Source organism: Homo sapiens, chromosome 1 (genome assembly GCF_000001405.40).
Source record: "Homo sapiens chromosome 1, GRCh38.p14 Primary Assembly".
NCBI classification, from domain to species: Eukaryota; Metazoa; Chordata; class Mammalia; order Primates; family Hominidae; genus Homo; species Homo sapiens.
This window is the reverse complement of record NC_000001.11, coordinates 229,405,422-229,422,599: the sequence shown is the minus strand read 5'-3', so window position 1 is coordinate 229,422,599 and position 17,178 is coordinate 229,405,422. Positions and strand designations below refer to the sequence as shown.

Below are 17,178 nucleotides of genomic sequence, written 5' to 3'. Positions count from 1 at the left end.
ACACTCTGGCTTAGTAATTCTTTACCACCCGTTAATTCTTCAGTGTTCATAAGAAGATTAAAAAAAATCTTAGGCCAGGCATGGTGGCTTATGCCTGTAATCCCAGCACTTTGGGAGACTGAGGCAGGAGGATCACTTGAGCCCAGGAGTTCAAGACCAGCCTGGGCAAGATAGTGAGACCCTGTCTCTACAAAAAAAATATTATTTTTTATTTTACTTTAAGTTCTGCACATTTTACATGTGCAGAACATGCAGGTTTGTTACATAGGTATACATGTGCCATGATGGTTTGCTGCACCTATCAACCCGTCATCTAGGTTTTAAGCACCGCATGCATTAGCTATTTGTCCTAATGCTCTCCCTCCCCTTGCTCCCAACCCCACCGAAAAATTTTTTTTTTTAATTAGCAGGGGTAATGGCGTGCACCTGAAGTCCCAGCTACTCAGGAAGCTAAGGAGGGAGAGTCATTTGAGCCTGGGAGGTGGAGGCTGCAGTGAGCCGAGATTGCACCACTTCACTCCAGCCTGGGCAGCAGAATAAGATCCTGTCTCAGCCGGACGCGGTGGCTCAAGCCTGTAATCCCAGCACTTTGGGAGGCCGAGGAGGGCGGATCACGAGGTCAGGAGATTGAGACCATCCTGGCTAACATGGTGAAACCCCGTCTCCACTTAAAAAAATACAAAAAAATTAGCGGGGCGTGGTGGCGGGCGCCTGTAGTCCCAGCTACTCGGGAGGTTGAGGCAGGAGAATGGCGAGAACCTGGGAGGTGGAGCTTGCAGTGAGCCGAGATCGCGCCACTGCACTCCAGCCTGGGTGACAGAGCGAGACTCCATCTCAAAAAAAAAAAAAAAAAAAAAAAAAAAAGACCCTGTCTCAAGAAAAAATAACGTTCTATCAAGCATTTTTAGTTGGTTTCAATAGGAGTGTTAATCCCAAGAACTTAGCCCACCATATTCCCTAAAAATAGACCTCAACATACCCTACTTACCAGCTTTGTCTTTAGCCGCCCCTGAAAAACATCTCAAATCTCACATGTAGGCTTCGGAAAGTTTGTCCCAAATTCTGATGCCTTATTTTAAAGCTGTTGCCTTTTTCCTGGGCCTAAAAATGCACCGAATCTGAAAATTTTCCCAGGATGACAGGCCACCAGCTGGGAGGCCGAGATGCCTGGAGCCCTCGCAACCCAAAGCTAACGTGCCATGTGTCAACAGGGATCAGTTGAACCATGAATACAAAAAAAAAAAAAAAAAGAAAAGAAAAGAATGAAGGGCGAAGGGGACGAAGAGAGTAGGCCAAAGTGAGAAATCATCATGACAGCTTCCGGGGGTGGAAGAGGGGGGATTTTTCTTCCTGACCTTTTTGTACCTCAATGTTTCCACCAATATTATTTTTTCAACAAATACGCGTTATGTTAACATTAAGAATATTAAATCAAATGGCACAAATGAATAATTAAACAGAAAAGAAAGGATCTACTCGTCCAGCAGACCAGAATTCTCTTTCCAGTAGGACAAGTTTGGGCGGATCCATTCACAATCCTGCTGATGACCACAGGCCAGGCTCCTGCGACAGATGGAGGAGCTTAGAGGCTTGGGCTGGGCAGGGGATCAGAGGATCATATACAATCATACACGTGAATGACACATGGGATCATAGGTGATGCAAGGCGGCACCTGCTGGAAGGAGCTCAAGTTGCTGCTTTCATTGACCTGCCCCGTCCACCAGAGCAATTCTGGATGCACTTAGCAGACATCGGTGGAAAGAGAATATATGGAATTCAGGAGACTGAGTTCTATTCCCAGCTCTGCCTAGCACATTAGGTTTCCCCTGCCAATACCATTCTGCCATGGAAGAGGGAGGAGCGGCTTTTCTGCAGGATGAGGGAGCAAGCTAGGAGAAGGGGGAGAGTCACATTTTTCCAAGGACACGTTCCTTGAGAGCTTCAGAAAAGGTTCCACTGTATTCTTTCTCCTTCCAAAGCTACAGAGCTCAAGATTCTCCCCCACTTTCTTCCCTCCCTTTAGTTTTGTCCATTCATCAACACATATTTATGGAGTATCGCTACCATTGCAGGAACGGAGACGTGCGATATGGAATATAGTTATATGGAATAACTTAACCCTACTTGAACTTCTTCTCAAGTAAATGCTTCAAAAGGATGCCTGTCATCCCTGGGCGCGTGTCAGGGCGCATGTTAGGGCGTCATCTCAGGGCGCATGTCATCTGTTTCTAGAATCTGGATTTTCTGCTAATGTTTGTTTCAGCCTCTAGTGCTCAGTGCAAGGCAGGCAGGTGGAAGCAGGACCATGCAGGTACAGTGAGGCTCCCGGAAGACCTCCATGCTCAGATCTCCAGGTGCCCTGGGGCGGAACCTACCAGGGTCATTCTCCCAGGTTTGGGGGATGGGGGAGCTGCATGTGTTTTCCCACACCACGCTGGCACTGGAGACCAGGAATTTTTAAGCCAGGAAACTCAGCATCTCTGAAATTATCATGGGATCTCTTCCCGACATGGGCAAGGCAAACACTGGTTCAGGCTGGGATGAGGATGAGGTGAGAGGCCCCAGAATCTGCACTTGCACTTGTACCACCAGCACAGAGGATGTGCCTCACTTCCCACACCCAGTCCCAGCCCTGCACTGGGTGGCTGTATTTTTTCCAAGGGGCAGCCCCGGGCACCATGAGGCAAAGCGAATTGTTCCAGGCTACAGGAGAGCACAGGCACTGTGGCCCCCCAGCCAGGGAAGTGTCTGTGTCCTTTTTCCTCCATGCACTTTCCTGGTTATGGGACTACATGGGAGGGAGCTGTGCTGCTCCTCAGTCTGAGAAATTAAGACATCTAAAATCAAGTTGACATTATTCTTCAGCTTATTTTCCAAACGGATCCAGAACCCCCTCCCCTGCTATTGCCCTGCTTATTGGCACCCCCTCCAATCCTCAATTAATTCACTAATTTATTCAACCGACACTTGCTGAGCACCTACAAATCAGTGTCTCGGCCCTCAGGGAGCTGGCAGTCTAGCTGAGAGGCAGATATTGATCAAACAGCAACATGGGCTGGGTGCAGTGGCTCAGGCCTGTAATCCCAGCACTTTGGGAGGCCAAGGTGGGTGCATCACCTGAGGTCAGAAGTTTGAGACCAGCCTGGCCAACATGGTAAAACCCCATCTCTCTCTCTCTCTCTCTCTCTCTCTTTTTTTTTTTTTTGAGACAGAATCTCGCTCTGTCACCCAGGCTGGAGTGCAGTGGCACCATCTCGGCTCACTGCAACCTCCACCTCCCGGGTTCAAGTAATTCTCCTGCCTCAGCCTCCTGAGTAGCTGGGATTACAGGCATGCACTACCACACCCCGCCAATTTTTGTATTTTTAGTAGAGATGGAGTTTCACCATGTTGGCCAGGCTGGTCTCTGTCTCACGTGTCCGTGTGAAGAGATCACCAAACAGGCTTTGTGTGGGCAACAAAGCTGTTTATTTCACTTAGGTGCAGGGGGACTGAGTCCAAAAAGAGAGTCAGCAAAGGGTGGTGGATTATCATTAGTTCTTATAGGTTTGGGGATAGGCGGTGGAGTTAGGAGCAATGTTTTGTGGGCAGGGGGTGGATCTCACTAAGTACATTCTCAAGGGTGAGGAGAATTACAAAGAACTTTCTTACGGGTGGGGGAGATTACAAAGTACATTGATCAGTTAGGGTGGGGCAGAAACAAATCACAATGGTGGAATGTCATCAGTTAAGGCTATTTTCACTTCTTTTGTGGATCTTCAGTTGCTTCCGGCCACCTGACCTTGTGATCCGCCCTCCTTGACCTCCCAAAGTGAAGGGATTACAGACGTAAGCCACTGCGCCCTGCCCATCTCTCTTAAAGATACAAAAATTAGCCAGGTGTGGTGGTGGGTGCCTGTAATCCCAGCTACTCAGGAGGCTGAGGTGGGAGTTTCATGCGCCTTGTGAAGAGACCACCAAACAGGCTTTGTGTGAGCAACAAAGCTGTTTATTTCACCTGGGTGCAGGTGGGCTGAGTCCGAAAAGAAAACAAAGGGAATTAAGGGTGGGGCCGTTTTATAGGATTTGGGCAGGTAAAGGAAAATTACAGTCAAAAGGGGGGTTGTTCTCTGGCGGGCAGGAGTGGGGGTCATAAGGTGCTCAGTAGGGGAGCTTTTTGAGCCAGAATGAGCCAGGAAAAGGACTTTTACAAGGTAATGTCATCACTTAAGGCAAGGACCGGCCATTTTCACTTCTTTTGTGGTGGAATGTCATCAGTTAAGGTAGGGCAGGGCATTTTGACTTCTTTTGTGATTCTTCAGTTACTTCAGGCCATCTGGGTGTATATGTGCAAGTCACCGGGGGTGTGATGGCTTGGCTTGGGCTCAGAGGCCTGACATTCCTGCCTTCTTATATTAATAAGAAAAATAAAGCAAAATAGTGTTGAAGTGTTAGGGCGGCGAAAATTTTTGGGGGGTGGTATGGAGAGAGAATGGGCGATGTTTCTCAGGGCTGCTTCAAGTGGGATTAGGGGCGGCGTGGGAACCTAGAGTGGGAGAGATTAAGCTGAAGGAAGATTTTGTGGTAAGGGGTGACATTGTGGGGTTGTTAGAAGAAACATTTGTCATTTAGAATTATTGGTGATGGCCTGGATACAGTTTTGTATGAATTGAAAAACTAAACAGAATAAGAGAAGGAGAAAAACAGGTATTAAAGGTCTAAGAATTGGGAGGACCCAGGACATCTAATTAGAGAGTGCCTAAGGAGGTTCAGCATAGTCCTGCCAGCAAAGATTATTTACTTTAAGACTTAAGAGTGGCAGTTTGGGGATAGCATCCATATCAGCTGTGATGGCTTGGAGAAACAGTATAAACCGGCAGTGTAAACAAAAGCAGGGCATGTGTGAGTAGCTGAGAACGGTGAATAGGATTATGACTAGACAGAAGATAGTAGGGATGACAATTTTTTTGGAGCACCGTCCAAGTTGGTCTGGTGTCTGGAATGAGACTGGGGCCTAATAAAAAGGAGCATCTATACAGGAGCTCAAATGGGCTGTACCTTGTAGCATTCTGAGGACAGGCTTGAATTCTGAGAAGGGAAAGTGGTAAAAGTATTGTCCAGTCCTTTTTAAGTTGGTGGCTGAGCTTGGTGAGGTGTGTTTTTAAAAGACTATTAGTCTGTTCTACCTTTCCTGAAGACTGAGGACCGTAAGGGATATAAAGGTTTCACTGAATACTAAGAGCCTGAAAAAAATGCTTGGCTGATTTGACTAATAAAGGCCGGTCTGCTATCTGACTGTATAGAGGTGGGAAGGCCAAACCGAGGAATTATGTCTGACAGAAGGGAAGAAATGACCGCGGTGGACTTCTCAGACCCTGTAGGAAAGGCCTCTACCTATCCAGTGAAAGTGTCTACCTAGACTAGGAGATATTTTAGTTTCCTGACTCGGGGCATGTGAGTAAAGTCAATTTGCCAGTCCTGGGCAGGGGCAAATCCCCGAGCTTGATGTGTAGGGAAGGGAGGAGGCCTGAACAATCCCTGAGGGGCAGTAGAATAGCAGATGGAACACTGAGAAGTGATTTCCTTGAGGATAGATTTCCAGGATGGAAAGGAAATGAGAGGTTCTAAGAGACGGGCTAGCGGCTTGTAACCTACATGGAAGAGGTTATGAAATGACAACAGAATAGAATGGGACTGTGAGGCTGCAAGGAGATATTTTCCTTGGTCTAAGAACCATTTGCCTTGTGTGGGAAGAGATTGATAGGTGGAAGTTTCAGCAGGGGAGTAGGTGGGAATGACTGATGTGAAGGAGAAAAACTGGCTGTAAGGGACAGAAGGTGGAGAGCTAGCTGCTTGTCTAGCCACCTTATCAGCATAAGCGTTGCCTAGAGCAATGGGATCTGATGCCTTTTGATGGCCTTTGCAGTGAATGACTCCAGCTTCCTTTGGAAGTGAAGCGGCCTTGAGCAGAGTTTTTATTAGAGGCATTAATGATGGAGGACCCTTGCGTAGTGAGGAAACCTCTTTCAGCCCATGTGACCACATGGTGGTGCAGAATATGAAAGGCATATTTAGAATCAGTATAGATATTGACGCATAGTCTTTTTGCAAGAGTGAGGGCTTGAGTTAAGGCAACTAGTTCGGCTTTCTGAGAGATAGTGGAGGGGGGCAGAGCAGTAGCCTCAATGATAAATGTGGAAGATACTATAGCGTAGCCTGCCTTTGCTGGTGAGTGGCGATTAGGCCTGGTGGAACTGCCATCAATAAACCAAATGTGATCAGGGTGAGAAACAGGAAAGAAGGAAACGTGGGGATATGGGGTGAACGTCAGGTGGATCAGAGAGATGCAGTCATGAGGGTCAGGTGTGGTATCTGGAATAATGTGGGAGGCCGGATTGAAGTCTGGGCCAGGAACAATGGTAATTGTGGGACTTAACAAAGAGTGAGTACAGCTGAAGGAGCTGAGGAGCAGAAAGTGTATGCATCAGGTGTGAGGAAGAAAATAGATTTTGGAAGTTATGAGAACTGTAGAGAGTGAGTTGAGCATAGTTTGTGATTTTGAGGGCCTCTAAAAGTATTAAAGCAGTGGCAGCCACTGCAAGCAGACATGAGGGCGAGGCTAAAACAGTAAGGTCAAGTTGTTTCGACAGAAAGCCTACAGGGTGCGGTCCTGGCTCTTGTGTAAGAATTCTGACCGCACTAACCATGCCTAGGAAGGAAAGGAGTTGTTGTTTTGTAGAAAGGATTGGGGTTTGGGAGATTAGCCGGACACGATCAGCAGGGAGAGCACGAGTGTTTTTATGAGAATTATGCCGAGATAGGTAACAGATGAGGTTGAAATTTGGGCTTGACTGAAGTAATGGGGGATGTCTGTGAAGCCTTGCAGCAGTACAGCCCAGGTAATTTGCTGAGCCTGATGGGTGTCAGGATTAGTCCAAGTGAAAGTGAAGAGAGGCTGGGATGAAGGGTGCAAAGGAATAGTAAAGAAAGCATGTTTGAGATCTAGAACAGAATAATGGGCTGTGGAGGGAGGTACTGAGGATAGGAGAGTATATGGGTTCGGCACCATGGGGTGGATAGGCAAAATAATTTGGTTGATAAGTCGCAGATCTTGAATCAGCCTGTAAGCCTTGTCTAGTTTTAGGACAGGTGAAATGGGGAAATTGTAAGGGGAGTTCATAGGTTTTAGAAGCCTATGCTGTAGCAGGCGAGTGATAACAGGCTTTAATCCTTTTAAAGTGTGCTGTGGGATGGGATATTGGCGTTGAGCGGGGTAAGGGTGATTAGGTTTTAATGGGATGGTAATGGGCATGTGATCGGTTGCCAGGGAAGGAGTAGAGATGTCCCATACTTGTGGTTAAGGTGGGGGGATACAAGAGGAAGATGCAAAGGAGGCTTTGGGTTTGGGAGAAGGCTGGCAATGAGATGCGGCTGTAGTCCAGGAATAGGGAAGCAGATAATTTAGTTAAAATGTCTTGGCCTAATAAGGGAGCTGGGCAGGTGGGGATAACTAAAAGAGAGTGCATAAAAGAATGTTGTCTAAGTTGGCACTAGAGTTGAGGAGTTTTAAGAGGTTTAGAAGCCTGGCCGTCAATACCCACAATAGTTATGGAGGCAAGGGAAACAGGCCCTTGAAAAGAAGGTAATGTGGAGTGGGTGGCCTCCGTATTAAGAAGGGGATGGACTTATCCTCTACTGCGAGAGTTACCTAGAGCATCTGTGACGGTCCTGTAGGCTTCCGAGGCGATCGGGCAGTGTCAGTCTTCAGCTGCTAAGCCGAGAAGATCTGGGAAGGAGTCAGTCAGAGAGCCTTGGGCCAGAGTTCCAGGGGCTCTGGAACTGGCTGCCAGGTTAGTTGAACAGTCTGATTTTCAGTGGGGTCCCACACAGATGGGACATGGCTTAGGAGGAATCCCGGGCTGTGGGCATTCCTTGGCCCGGTGGCCAGATTTCCGGCACATGTAGCAAGCTCCTGTGGGAGGAGGTTCTGGAGGAACGCCTGGCAGCTGCGGTTCAGGCGTTTGGAAGTTCTTGTGTGCTGGAGATGTGGCTGGGGTTTGTCTCACAGTGGAGGCAAGGAATTGCAACTTTTTTCTATTATTGTACACCTTGAAGGCAAGGTTAATTAAATCCTGTTGTGGGGTTTGAGGGCTGGAATTTAAGTTTTGGAGTTTTATTTAATGTCAGGAGCAGATTGGGTAATAAAATGCATATTGAGAATAAGACGGCCTTTTGACCTTTTAGGGTCCAGGGCTGTAAAGCGTCTCAGGGTTGCTGCCAAACGAGCCATGAACTGGGCTGGATTTTTATATTTGATGAAAAAGAGCCTAAACGCTATCAGATTTGGGATAAAGAAAAAGGAGCATTAACCTTGACTATGCCTTTAGCTCCAGCCACCTTTTTAAGAGGAAATTGCTGGGCAGGTGGGGGAGGGCTAGTCACGGAACGAAACTGTAAGCCGGACCAGGTGTGAGGAGGGGAGGCGATAAAAAGATTATAGGGTGGAGGAGCGGAGGCTGAGGAAGAATTGGGACCTAGCTCAGCCTGGTGAGGAGGGGAGAGGTCAGATGGGTCTGTAGAAAAGGAAGATTAGAAAGACTCAGCGACCCTTGGGGTTGGGACTGAGGGGACAGGCAGGAGGGAAAGAAGGAAGATTTGGGACAAGTTGCATTGGGCACAGAGACTAGGAAGGGACTGATGTGTAAAAGAATGCCTGGACATCAGGCACCTCAGACCGTTTGCCTATTTTACGACAAGAATTATGTAGATCTTGCAGGATGGAAAAATTCAAAGTGCTGTTTTCTGGCTATTTGGAACCACTGTCAAGTTTGTATTGGGGTCAAGCGGCATTGCAGAAGAAAATAAGGCATTTAGGTTTGAGGTCAGGTGTGAGTTGAAGAGGTTTTTAAGTTCTTGAGAACACAGACTAAGGGAGAAGGAGGAGGAATGGAGGGTGGAAGGTTGCCCATAGTGAAGGAGGCAAGCCCAGAGAAAAGAGAGCATAGAGACACGGAGGGAAGGGGTTTGGGGGTTCTTACCCTCCAGAAAAGTGGGAAAGGGGTTGGGGCATGGAAATAAGGGATTGGGGGTTCTTGCCCCCTAGAAAAGTGAGACTTGCCACTAAGGGTGAAGGAGAAGGGGTTGAAGGGTACTTGCCCCTCCCCCAGAAAAGCAGAGAAGGGGTAGAGACACAGAGATAAGGGGTTGGGGTACTTGCCCCTTCCCCAGAAAAGCAGGACTTGCCGCTAAGAGTGAAGCAGAAGGGGTTGGGGGTTTCTTGCCCCCCAGAAAGGCAGAGAAGGGGTAGAGACATGAGAAGGGGTTGGGGTACTTGCCCCTCCCCCAGAAAAGCGGGATTTGCTGCTAAGGGTGAAGGACCAAGTCAGGCGTCCCTGCATGGTCTGACACCTCTGAAACCTGGGTTAATAATCAGAGAGGTGTCCCTGCAATGATTAGACACCAAGGGAAGGCTGCCTTGCCAGTCCATGACCGGCGCCAGAGTTTTGGGTCCACAGATAAAACGTGTCTCCTTTGTCTCTACCAGAAAATGAAAGGAATTGAAATTAAGAAAAGGGAGAGATTGAAGAGTGGAAAGGAGAAAGTGGTTGAGGGACAATGAGAAAGGTTGGAGAAGAGAGTAAGAAGAGGTCACTTACCTGATTTAAAATTGGTGAGATGTTCCTTGGGCTGGTGGGTCTGAGGACCTGAGGTCGTAGGTGGATCTTTTTCACGGAGCAAAGAACAGGAGGACAGGGGATTGATCTCCCAAGGGAGGTCCCCTGATCCCAGTCACAGCAACATATTTCATGCGCGTCCATGTGAAGAGACCACCAAACAGGTTTTGTGTGAGCAATAAAGCTGTTTATTTCACCTGAGTGCAGGTGGGCTGAGTCCGAAAAGAAAGCGAAGGGAGTTAAGGGTGGGGCAGTTTTATAGGATTTGGGCAGGTAAAGGAAAATTACAGTCAAAAGGGGGGTTGTTCTCTGGCTGGCAGGAGTGGGGGTCATAAGGTGCTCAGTAGGGGAGCTTTTTGAGCCAGGATGAGCCAGGAAAAGGACTTTTACAAGGTAATGTCATCACTTAAGGCAAGGACCGGCCATTTTCACTTCTTTTGTGATTCTTCAGTTACTTCAGGCCATCTGGGCATATATGTGCAAGTCACCGGGGCTGCGATGGCTTAGCTTGGGCTCAGAGGCCTGACAGGAGAATCCCTCAAACCCGGGAGGCAGAGGTTGCAGCCAGCCGCGATTGTGCCATTGCCCTCCAGCGTGGGCAATAGAGTAAGATTCCATCTCAAGCAAACAACCAAATAGCAACTTGAACCAATGTGCCTCTGCACATTTCACACATGCTACAAAGGAGGGGTGTGGCATGGGACAGCATTGACCAATCCTCGGTCAGGAAGGGCTTCCAGAGCAAGTGCAGCTCTGAAAGGCAGGTTGAACACCTCTAGCAAGGTCCTGGGATCCTTTAAGTCCTGAAGGGAGGTCAGTGTAGCTGGGAGAGAGGGTAGGGGTGGCGTGGGGTTGTCAAGGAGGCACAGTTGGCCAATCTAGCCTGTGCAGACCCTCCACTGCTGAATGTATATATAATTTTTATTTTAAGAGCAATGGAAATCCATTGAACTGTTTTAAGGAGACAGAGGGAGAGAGAAACACACACACACATGCACACAGAACCTGGCCTCGGTGGGTGTAGGAGGGAGAACTGAATGATAGCTTTCAGGTCTCTGATTCACACATTTGGATGCTCAACGAGGGCACCTTCCTTTGGGAGCTTCGGCTGGTGTGGGGAACCAGGCAAGTTGGGAGCCCTGGAGATGGCGTGCCTAGTGGGGAGACGGGGGCAGGCTGGGCCTGAGATTGCGGTACGACCTGGGTCCCAGCAGCCCTTTTACTTCCTCTCAGTCTGTTGGAGCCTTGGGGCTGGAAGGGAGGGTCATTAGAATGTTCTCTGCAGAAAACTCAAAAAGCCCGCAGGAGAATGAGAGTCTGTGCTATTTCGGCATTCCCTCCCATTTCACTCACTGCCTCGAGGGAATGATAAATATGAGAAACCTGCTCAAAAAGCCTGGCTGGACCCAGGGTCTGCTTGAAGGCCTGTGCTCTGGGGCTGGAAAGGGGAGGGGGGAGGGGAGAGGGAGGAAGGAGAGATGAAGGGGTGGGGGGGAGAAGGGAGACGGAAAGGGGAGGAAAGGGAAGGAAGGGAGAGGGAACTAGGAGAGGAGAGAGGAGGAGGGGGAGGGGGGGAGGAGGGGACAGGGAGAGGTAGGGGAGGGGAAGAGGAGGCCGAGGGGGAGGGCATAAGGCCTGCCTGCAGCTGTCTGCAGAGCCCCACGCCTGCCACACGGTGAGTCACAGTGCCAGCTCCCACTGCCTGCCTCTATTTTTATATCAGCGCCTGCTCATATCTGACTCGTTAACTAAGCCTTCCAACTGGTGGAGGGGAATCTGGTGGCAGAGGATGAGGGCCGAGGGAATAATTTAGAAGTCTACATAGGAATTATAAAGCGATCCTTCTCTCTTATCAGGAGCTCTAAGCCTTTTTAATAACCAGGCGCTTTCAGCTGCTGCTCTAGAGGGCTGTGGGGAGTTGCCAGCCCTCCCAGCAGTAATCAGTGTTCTGGGAAGGAGAACAGAGTCAACAAGAACAACCGCCTGGGCTTTGGCACCAAAGGGTGGTAGCAGCTGCAGGAGGGGCTCAGGGAAGCTGTGCTAATAGGCACTTAAATGTGACACCCACATAATAAGGATCCTAAACAGATGGTGGGGGGCTGCTGCTATCATGCGGTGCGCATAATAGATGATCAGAGCAAATGACAGGCACGCCGCCTGGGGCTACCATTCTGCAGAGGGTTGATTCGAATGGGTTGACACCTGCTGGCTTAGGCAGGCATCCCTTTCCTCCCTCACTGCTCCATGTGGATCTCTCCTGAAGCTGCGTGCTGGGTGGAAGAGGAGAATCTTCTCTGATAGAGGACAACGGTTCTGTGGTCAAGTGTATACCACTCCCCTGCTAGAACCGCGGAACGAGCTCAAACCAGAAGATGAATGTTGAACATGTACATCCTGTTGCCTTCAAAATACTCAGAAGAGGGGAATTCAGGTTTTCTATTGCTAAGAGGAACTTGGGGTGAGCTGGGAGCCCTGCGGCACCCGCCTTTCTGCAATGCTCAGAGAGGGATGGGCAGCCAGAGCTGATGTGTGCCCCTGTGTGCCTGGGATGGATGCCGGCCCTGCTGTTCGCTCCCAGCTCCTGGGTTTGGTGGAGAAGAGGCATGGGCACGTCTGCTCTGCCCTCCGGAAGAATCCCCACGTTCAGAACAAGATGCCAGAGACCCAGGTTCCCAGGTCCTGCCTGCACGCCGAAGCAGAGTCCTGGCCCTGGCAAAGCTCCAAGGGCCCGATGACCATGCCTGGGGTGTTGGGGGAGGGGTGCAGGGGTGCCTGGCCATGGCACAGCCCTCTCCTTTCTGGAGGCTCCTGGGTATCAGCTGTCCTTTCCTTCCCGCACTCTGCCTGAACGTAGAAGGAAGAAGAGAGCCGCTGACAAAGGGCTTGTGCTTTCTCCCAGCCCCTTGGATAAGTAAGCACAGCTTTAAATCCAAACTTAAGAGCCAGGAGAGCGGCACTGGTGGGCATCTCCCCAGGATTCTCATGGTCTGGGGGAAAGACAAGAGCATCCAGACCCTGCCTGGGAGCTCCCCGGGCCCGCGGCCTCAGTGCACACCCTGAGCTCTCCTGCGCCCCCCTCCCCCATCCCTTGCACCACCCCCTCCTTCTCTGCACTTTGGTCCCTTCTCAGGGACGTTGTCTCTCAGTGGCTCAGGTGCCTGGCTCCAGGGAGGCCTGGGAGCTCACTCCACACCATGCTCCCACCCTTCTGATCAGGAATTCAAACTGCTTTGCCTTTCCTTCACATGCACACGGAGCTGTGTGTGTGGGGTCCACGACTCTGGGCAGAAGGTAGCCTTGAACTGCTTGGACACCCTCCCTCGGCACCAGCTTTCTCACTTGGGTCTTGTTAATCTCAGGTACTCCTTGAAAGCAGTGGCCAAGTTTCCTTCATAACGTGCCCCCTAGGAGCCCATGCAGGTCCTTACACCCAGGGACGGCTCAGAGAGGGCCTGGTGGCTGATCAGCGAGTCTCCTGGCATCTGTATCCACCCTGAACTGGGTGAAGGGAACTTTCCTCCAGGGCCAAGGATGTAATGAGCTGCCTGCTTAGGAGGAAAGCTAGACGTATTCCCATTGAGTAGATTTGAAAAACAAGGCTGATGGTGGATCATAAAGTCCTGGAGCCTGTGTCTCTAGCGTCACGGAATGTTCAGAGGGGACGTGGTGGTGGGGATGGTGGGCAAGTCTGGGGCATGGAAGCTCTCAGACTCCTTCCTGGGTGGGAGATAAAAGGGAGCATTTCCCTCTAGAACCCGTCAGTCAGAGCCAGTGTTGAGAACAGTACCCTCCGCCTTCCTTAAGCAGGTTTTTACCTTTGCCGTCCTCTAAGCGACCTCCTTGTGTTCCATTTCACAGGCTCCCCATTATCAGGCTGTATTTATTCCCCTTCCCCTCCCTACAGCTGCCTGGTCTTCCTAACTAGGCTGAAAGTGCCTGAGCTGGTTTGACTGCAGCTCCTCTGCTGGCTCCAGAGCCTGGGACAGGAAGGAGGCTGTGGAGTGGGAGAAGCCTGAGGCAGGCAGCCCAGGCGGGCCCATGGGGCTGTGCTCACTGTGACAGCTGGGCCACATGCCTGCCATTCCCTGCAGCGTGCTCATCCTCTTGATATAGGGATGCTATTGGCTGCCCAGCCAGTGAGGCCTTGGGCTCTGGGACCAGACGCCCTGCTGCTTTTAGGGCAAGGCCAGTGGGGACAGGCTAGGACAGGCGTCAGCTTTCTTTCTCTCCTTGCATGGCCAGGGCCTGCAGCCCGTTTTCTGATTTGTGTGTATTATTAGGTCCCAGGGATTCCTGCAGCCTGGGTGAGCCTCAGTGGGTGGGGCCCACCCGGATTCCCACCCCACTCTGTGGAGGAACTGTATCCGGAATCTGAGCTCTGTCCAGGGTCCTCAGCCCGGCTGAGAGAGACCTGGCCCACTGCCTGCTTCCAGGCAGAATGAAGAAGGTGCCATTTCTCATCCCCACTGTCCATGAGGCCACATGAGGCCTGCCTTGCTTAGATGTCCCTCCGGCACCCTGCACCTGATGGCTTCTTTCTGTTCCCTAGATTATCCTAGCTCACGGCTGACAAGGGCCTAACAGCCTCCTCCTCTTGGTAACATACGAGCAAGTTTACCAGGGTGGATAATATCGTGACTCAATGGGACCTACTGCTCCTGGAGGGGTGGGTGGGGTCCCATCCAGGGCAGGGCCCACCTTGCCCCACAGGCAGGGCCCTGTTAGGCTAAGCTTCGGGCTGGGAGAAAAGCGAACTCTTCTGCCCTTTCCGACGCCTAAGGACCATCGACTGGAGGGAGAGGGGCCCTGCGTTTTTGCACGGGGGATATGGGCAGAGGCCGGCGTATTTAGGAAAGTGAACCCCCTTCATTGACTGCGTTTAGCCAGGGGAAGCCAGCCCCTGCCCAGGCCCATCCCAGGGTCGCAGAGGTAACGCTAAACAGGGCGCCTTGGAGCTGACCGCGTGGGGCGGGTTCGCGCTGCCTCGGCGTCGCCCGCCTCTGAGCGTGTGGGTGGGGGTGCTTAGGGCCCTGGCCAGGCTTAGGAAGCAGATCTGGCTGGATCTGATAGCTCTTACCTTGGTTTGAACGTTTGTGCGAAGAGCTGATTGCCCTGGAGGCGAATTCCCGAGAAGCCGCGGGAGAGCCGCGTGAGTGTGCCCAGCTGGGGCGTCCGAGGGCGAATCCGGCTAGGGTGCCTTTCCTGCGGCGCGGAGCCTCAGCAGCACAACCCGCGTGGGGCCGCGATCGCCCTCCTTCCCTCCCTCCACAGACTGCTTTCCCCAAAGCAGGCACCCCTCAGGCCAGCCTCATCTGCGTGCCCTCACCACCCTGGGGTGTCACCTCCCCGCGGTAACCCCTCCGCCGTGCACGCCAGACGCTCAGTCCGCGGGGTGCTCGGGGCAGGGCCTGCTCCCCCTCCCCACCTCGCTCCCTCCCGGGACAGCCCCTCGGGGACCAGAGCTCCCTCTCGTGTCTTATCTGCCACATCTGTAAAGCAAGGGGCACGTTAATCGCTTCCAGGGTCTCTCTTTCTCCCCCCAGTCCTGAGCTCCTGCCTCAGTTGCCGCTCCGTAGCTCCGGAACACGCAGGCCCCCGAATGCCAACTTTGACGGGGGCGGCCTTCAAATCCCAGAGGACGCGCTCGCTCTGCGTCCCCGACTGGCGGCGCGGTGCCTGCCTCGCCTATGCAGCAGAGTTAACTCGGGGCCTTTTTGGGTGCAGGAGCTGTTCACGTCGTATTTTGCCGGTTGAGGAACTCCAGACCCAGGCCACGTCTCTTCACTGTGGGGAAAAAAAGCCACTTGTGAAAAACTTATCCCCCGTGGCATGGACTGCGTAGGAGACAGTGAATGAAACAAGCGACCAACCTCAGCATGAACTAAACCGAGAGACCAGGGCGGGAGGGGAGGGGAGAGGGGGAGAGTGGTCAGAGGCCGGGCTCTCTGTCTGGTGGAGACTGCCCAACCGCTGCTTCTGAAACAGCAGAGACATCTGATACACACAGAGGTCTTTTGTGAATGGCCTTTGTTTGTCTTTTGGGGGCTGTGTGGAGGGCACGACACTTTTTTTGATGGCAATCAGAGCAGGGGCTGAGACCAACCTTGGTTGATATGGTGCCGACCACAGGCTACAAACATGAGCTGAGAGGTAGGATAGTAAGTGGAGGAGAATGTCCCGCTGAGCCAGACAGCAGCAGAGGGGTTACATGGGATAACAAGACCACAATGAGGAGTTAACATTTGTGCTGCACTTAGAATAGTGCCTTGAGCAGGTGAAGTTCTATATGTGTGTTCATTGAATGCATTTTTAAAAGGATACATTTTTTTAAAACCTCAATTAGAGCTCAAGCTTTTATTCAAATAAACTTTTATTTTGGGCAAATTTGAGATTTGCAGAAAAATTTGAAGTTGCTCTGGTGGGACATAGGTTTCCATATATCCTGTACCCAGTTCCCCCTATTGTTAACACTGTACATTACCTTGGTACAACCATCACACTAAAGAATCAGTTATGGCAAATTCCATTTTTTTTTTTTTTGAGATGGAGTCTTGCTCTGTCGCCCAGGGTGGAGTGCAGTGGCACAATCTAGGCTCACTGCAACTTCCACCTCCTGGATTCAAGAGATTCTCCTGTCTCAGCCTCCCAGGTAGCTGGGATTACAGCCATGCACCACCACGCCCGGCTAATTTTTGTATTTTTTAGTAGAGATGGGGCTTCACCATGTTGGCCAGGCTGGTCTCGAACTCTGGACCTCAAGTGATCCACCTGCCTCGGCCTCCCAAAGTGGTGAGATTACAGGCATGAGCCACCACGCCCGGCCTATTTTTGAATTGTAAAAAAATTATTTGTAGAGAGAGGGGTCTTGCTTTGTTGTCCAGGTTGGTCTATGAACTCCCGGCTTCAGCGGATCCTCCCACCTTGGCCTCTGAAAGTGCTGGGATTACAGGTGTGAGCCACCATGCCTGGTACATTCACATTACTTAAACTCCAGGTTTTACTTGGATTTTACCTGTTTTCCCATAGAATGCCCTCTTTCTCTTCCAGGATCCCATTGAGGATGCCACGTTATACATAGCCATCATGTTTTCTTATTCTCCTCTGGTCTGTAATAGATTCTCAGTCTTTCCTTGTTTTTCGTGACCTTGACAGTTTTGAGGAGTCTGGTAATACTCCTTTGTAGATGGAGATTTGTAGAATGTCCTCAATGTGGATTTTCTCTGATGTTTCTCTCATGATTAGCCTGGGGTTGTGGGTGTTTGGAAAGAACACTAAAGAGGTGGAGTGCCAGCCGGGTGTGATGGCTCATGCCTGTAATTTCATCACTTTGGGAGGCTGAGGCAGGTGGATCATGAGGTCAGGAGTTTGAGACCAGCCTGGCCAACATAGTGAAACCCTGTCTCTACTAAAAATGCAAAAAATTAGCTGGGTGTGGTGTGGTGGGGTGCGTGTAATCCCAGCTACTTGGGAGGCTGAGGCAGGAGAATTGCTAGAACCCGGGAGGCAGAGGTTGCAGTCAGCTGA

At 50.9% G+C, this 17,178-nt stretch overlaps 1 long non-coding RNA gene and 1 pseudogene across 1 annotated transcript, besides 5 other annotated features; one reads left to right on the top strand and one right to left on the bottom strand.

Annotated features, from left to right (window-relative positions):
* Window positions 3,487-4,240: an enhancer, noted in NCBI's record as "OCT4-NANOG-H3K27ac hESC enhancer chr1:229554107-229554860 (GRCh37/hg19 assembly coordinates)". NCBI's record gives its function as "activates a minimal SCP1, AML or CMV promoter by ChIP-STARR-seq in naive and primed H9 embryonic stem cells {active_cell/tissue: H9 hESC(naive and primed)}" and the evidence as "EXISTENCE:reporter gene assay evidence [ECO:0000049][PMID:30033119]".
* Window positions 4,241-4,996: an enhancer, noted in NCBI's record as "OCT4-NANOG-H3K27ac hESC enhancer chr1:229553351-229554106 (GRCh37/hg19 assembly coordinates)". NCBI's record gives its function as "activates a minimal SCP1, AML or CMV promoter by ChIP-STARR-seq in naive H9 embryonic stem cells {active_cell/tissue: H9 hESC(naive)}" and the evidence as "EXISTENCE:reporter gene assay evidence [ECO:0000049][PMID:30033119]".
* Window positions 5,628-6,129: an enhancer, noted in NCBI's record as "NANOG hESC enhancer chr1:229552218-229552719 (GRCh37/hg19 assembly coordinates)". NCBI's record gives its function as "activates a minimal SCP1, AML or CMV promoter by ChIP-STARR-seq in primed H9 embryonic stem cells {active_cell/tissue: H9 hESC(primed)}" and the evidence as "EXISTENCE:reporter gene assay evidence [ECO:0000049][PMID:30033119]".
* Window positions 7,392-7,892: an enhancer, noted in NCBI's record as "H3K4me1 hESC enhancer chr1:229550455-229550955 (GRCh37/hg19 assembly coordinates)". NCBI's record gives its function as "activates a minimal SCP1, AML or CMV promoter by ChIP-STARR-seq in naive H9 embryonic stem cells {active_cell/tissue: H9 hESC(naive)}" and the evidence as "EXISTENCE:reporter gene assay evidence [ECO:0000049][PMID:30033119]".
* On the bottom strand, window positions 10,558-15,255 carry LOC124904541 (uncharacterized). Its single transcript, XR_007066925.1, has 2 exons — window positions 14,732-15,255; window positions 10,558-12,498 (listed from the first exon to the last, which is right to left on the bottom strand). It is a non-coding gene; the product is annotated as an uncharacterized LOC124904541 (long non-coding RNA).
* Window positions 11,833-12,100, top strand: RN7SKP276 (RN7SK pseudogene 276; annotated as a pseudogene).
* Window positions 14,623-15,588: an enhancer, noted in NCBI's record as "H3K27ac-H3K4me1 hESC enhancer chr1:229542759-229543724 (GRCh37/hg19 assembly coordinates)". NCBI's record gives its function as "activates a minimal SCP1, AML or CMV promoter by ChIP-STARR-seq in naive H9 embryonic stem cells {active_cell/tissue: H9 hESC(naive)}" and the evidence as "EXISTENCE:reporter gene assay evidence [ECO:0000049][PMID:30033119]".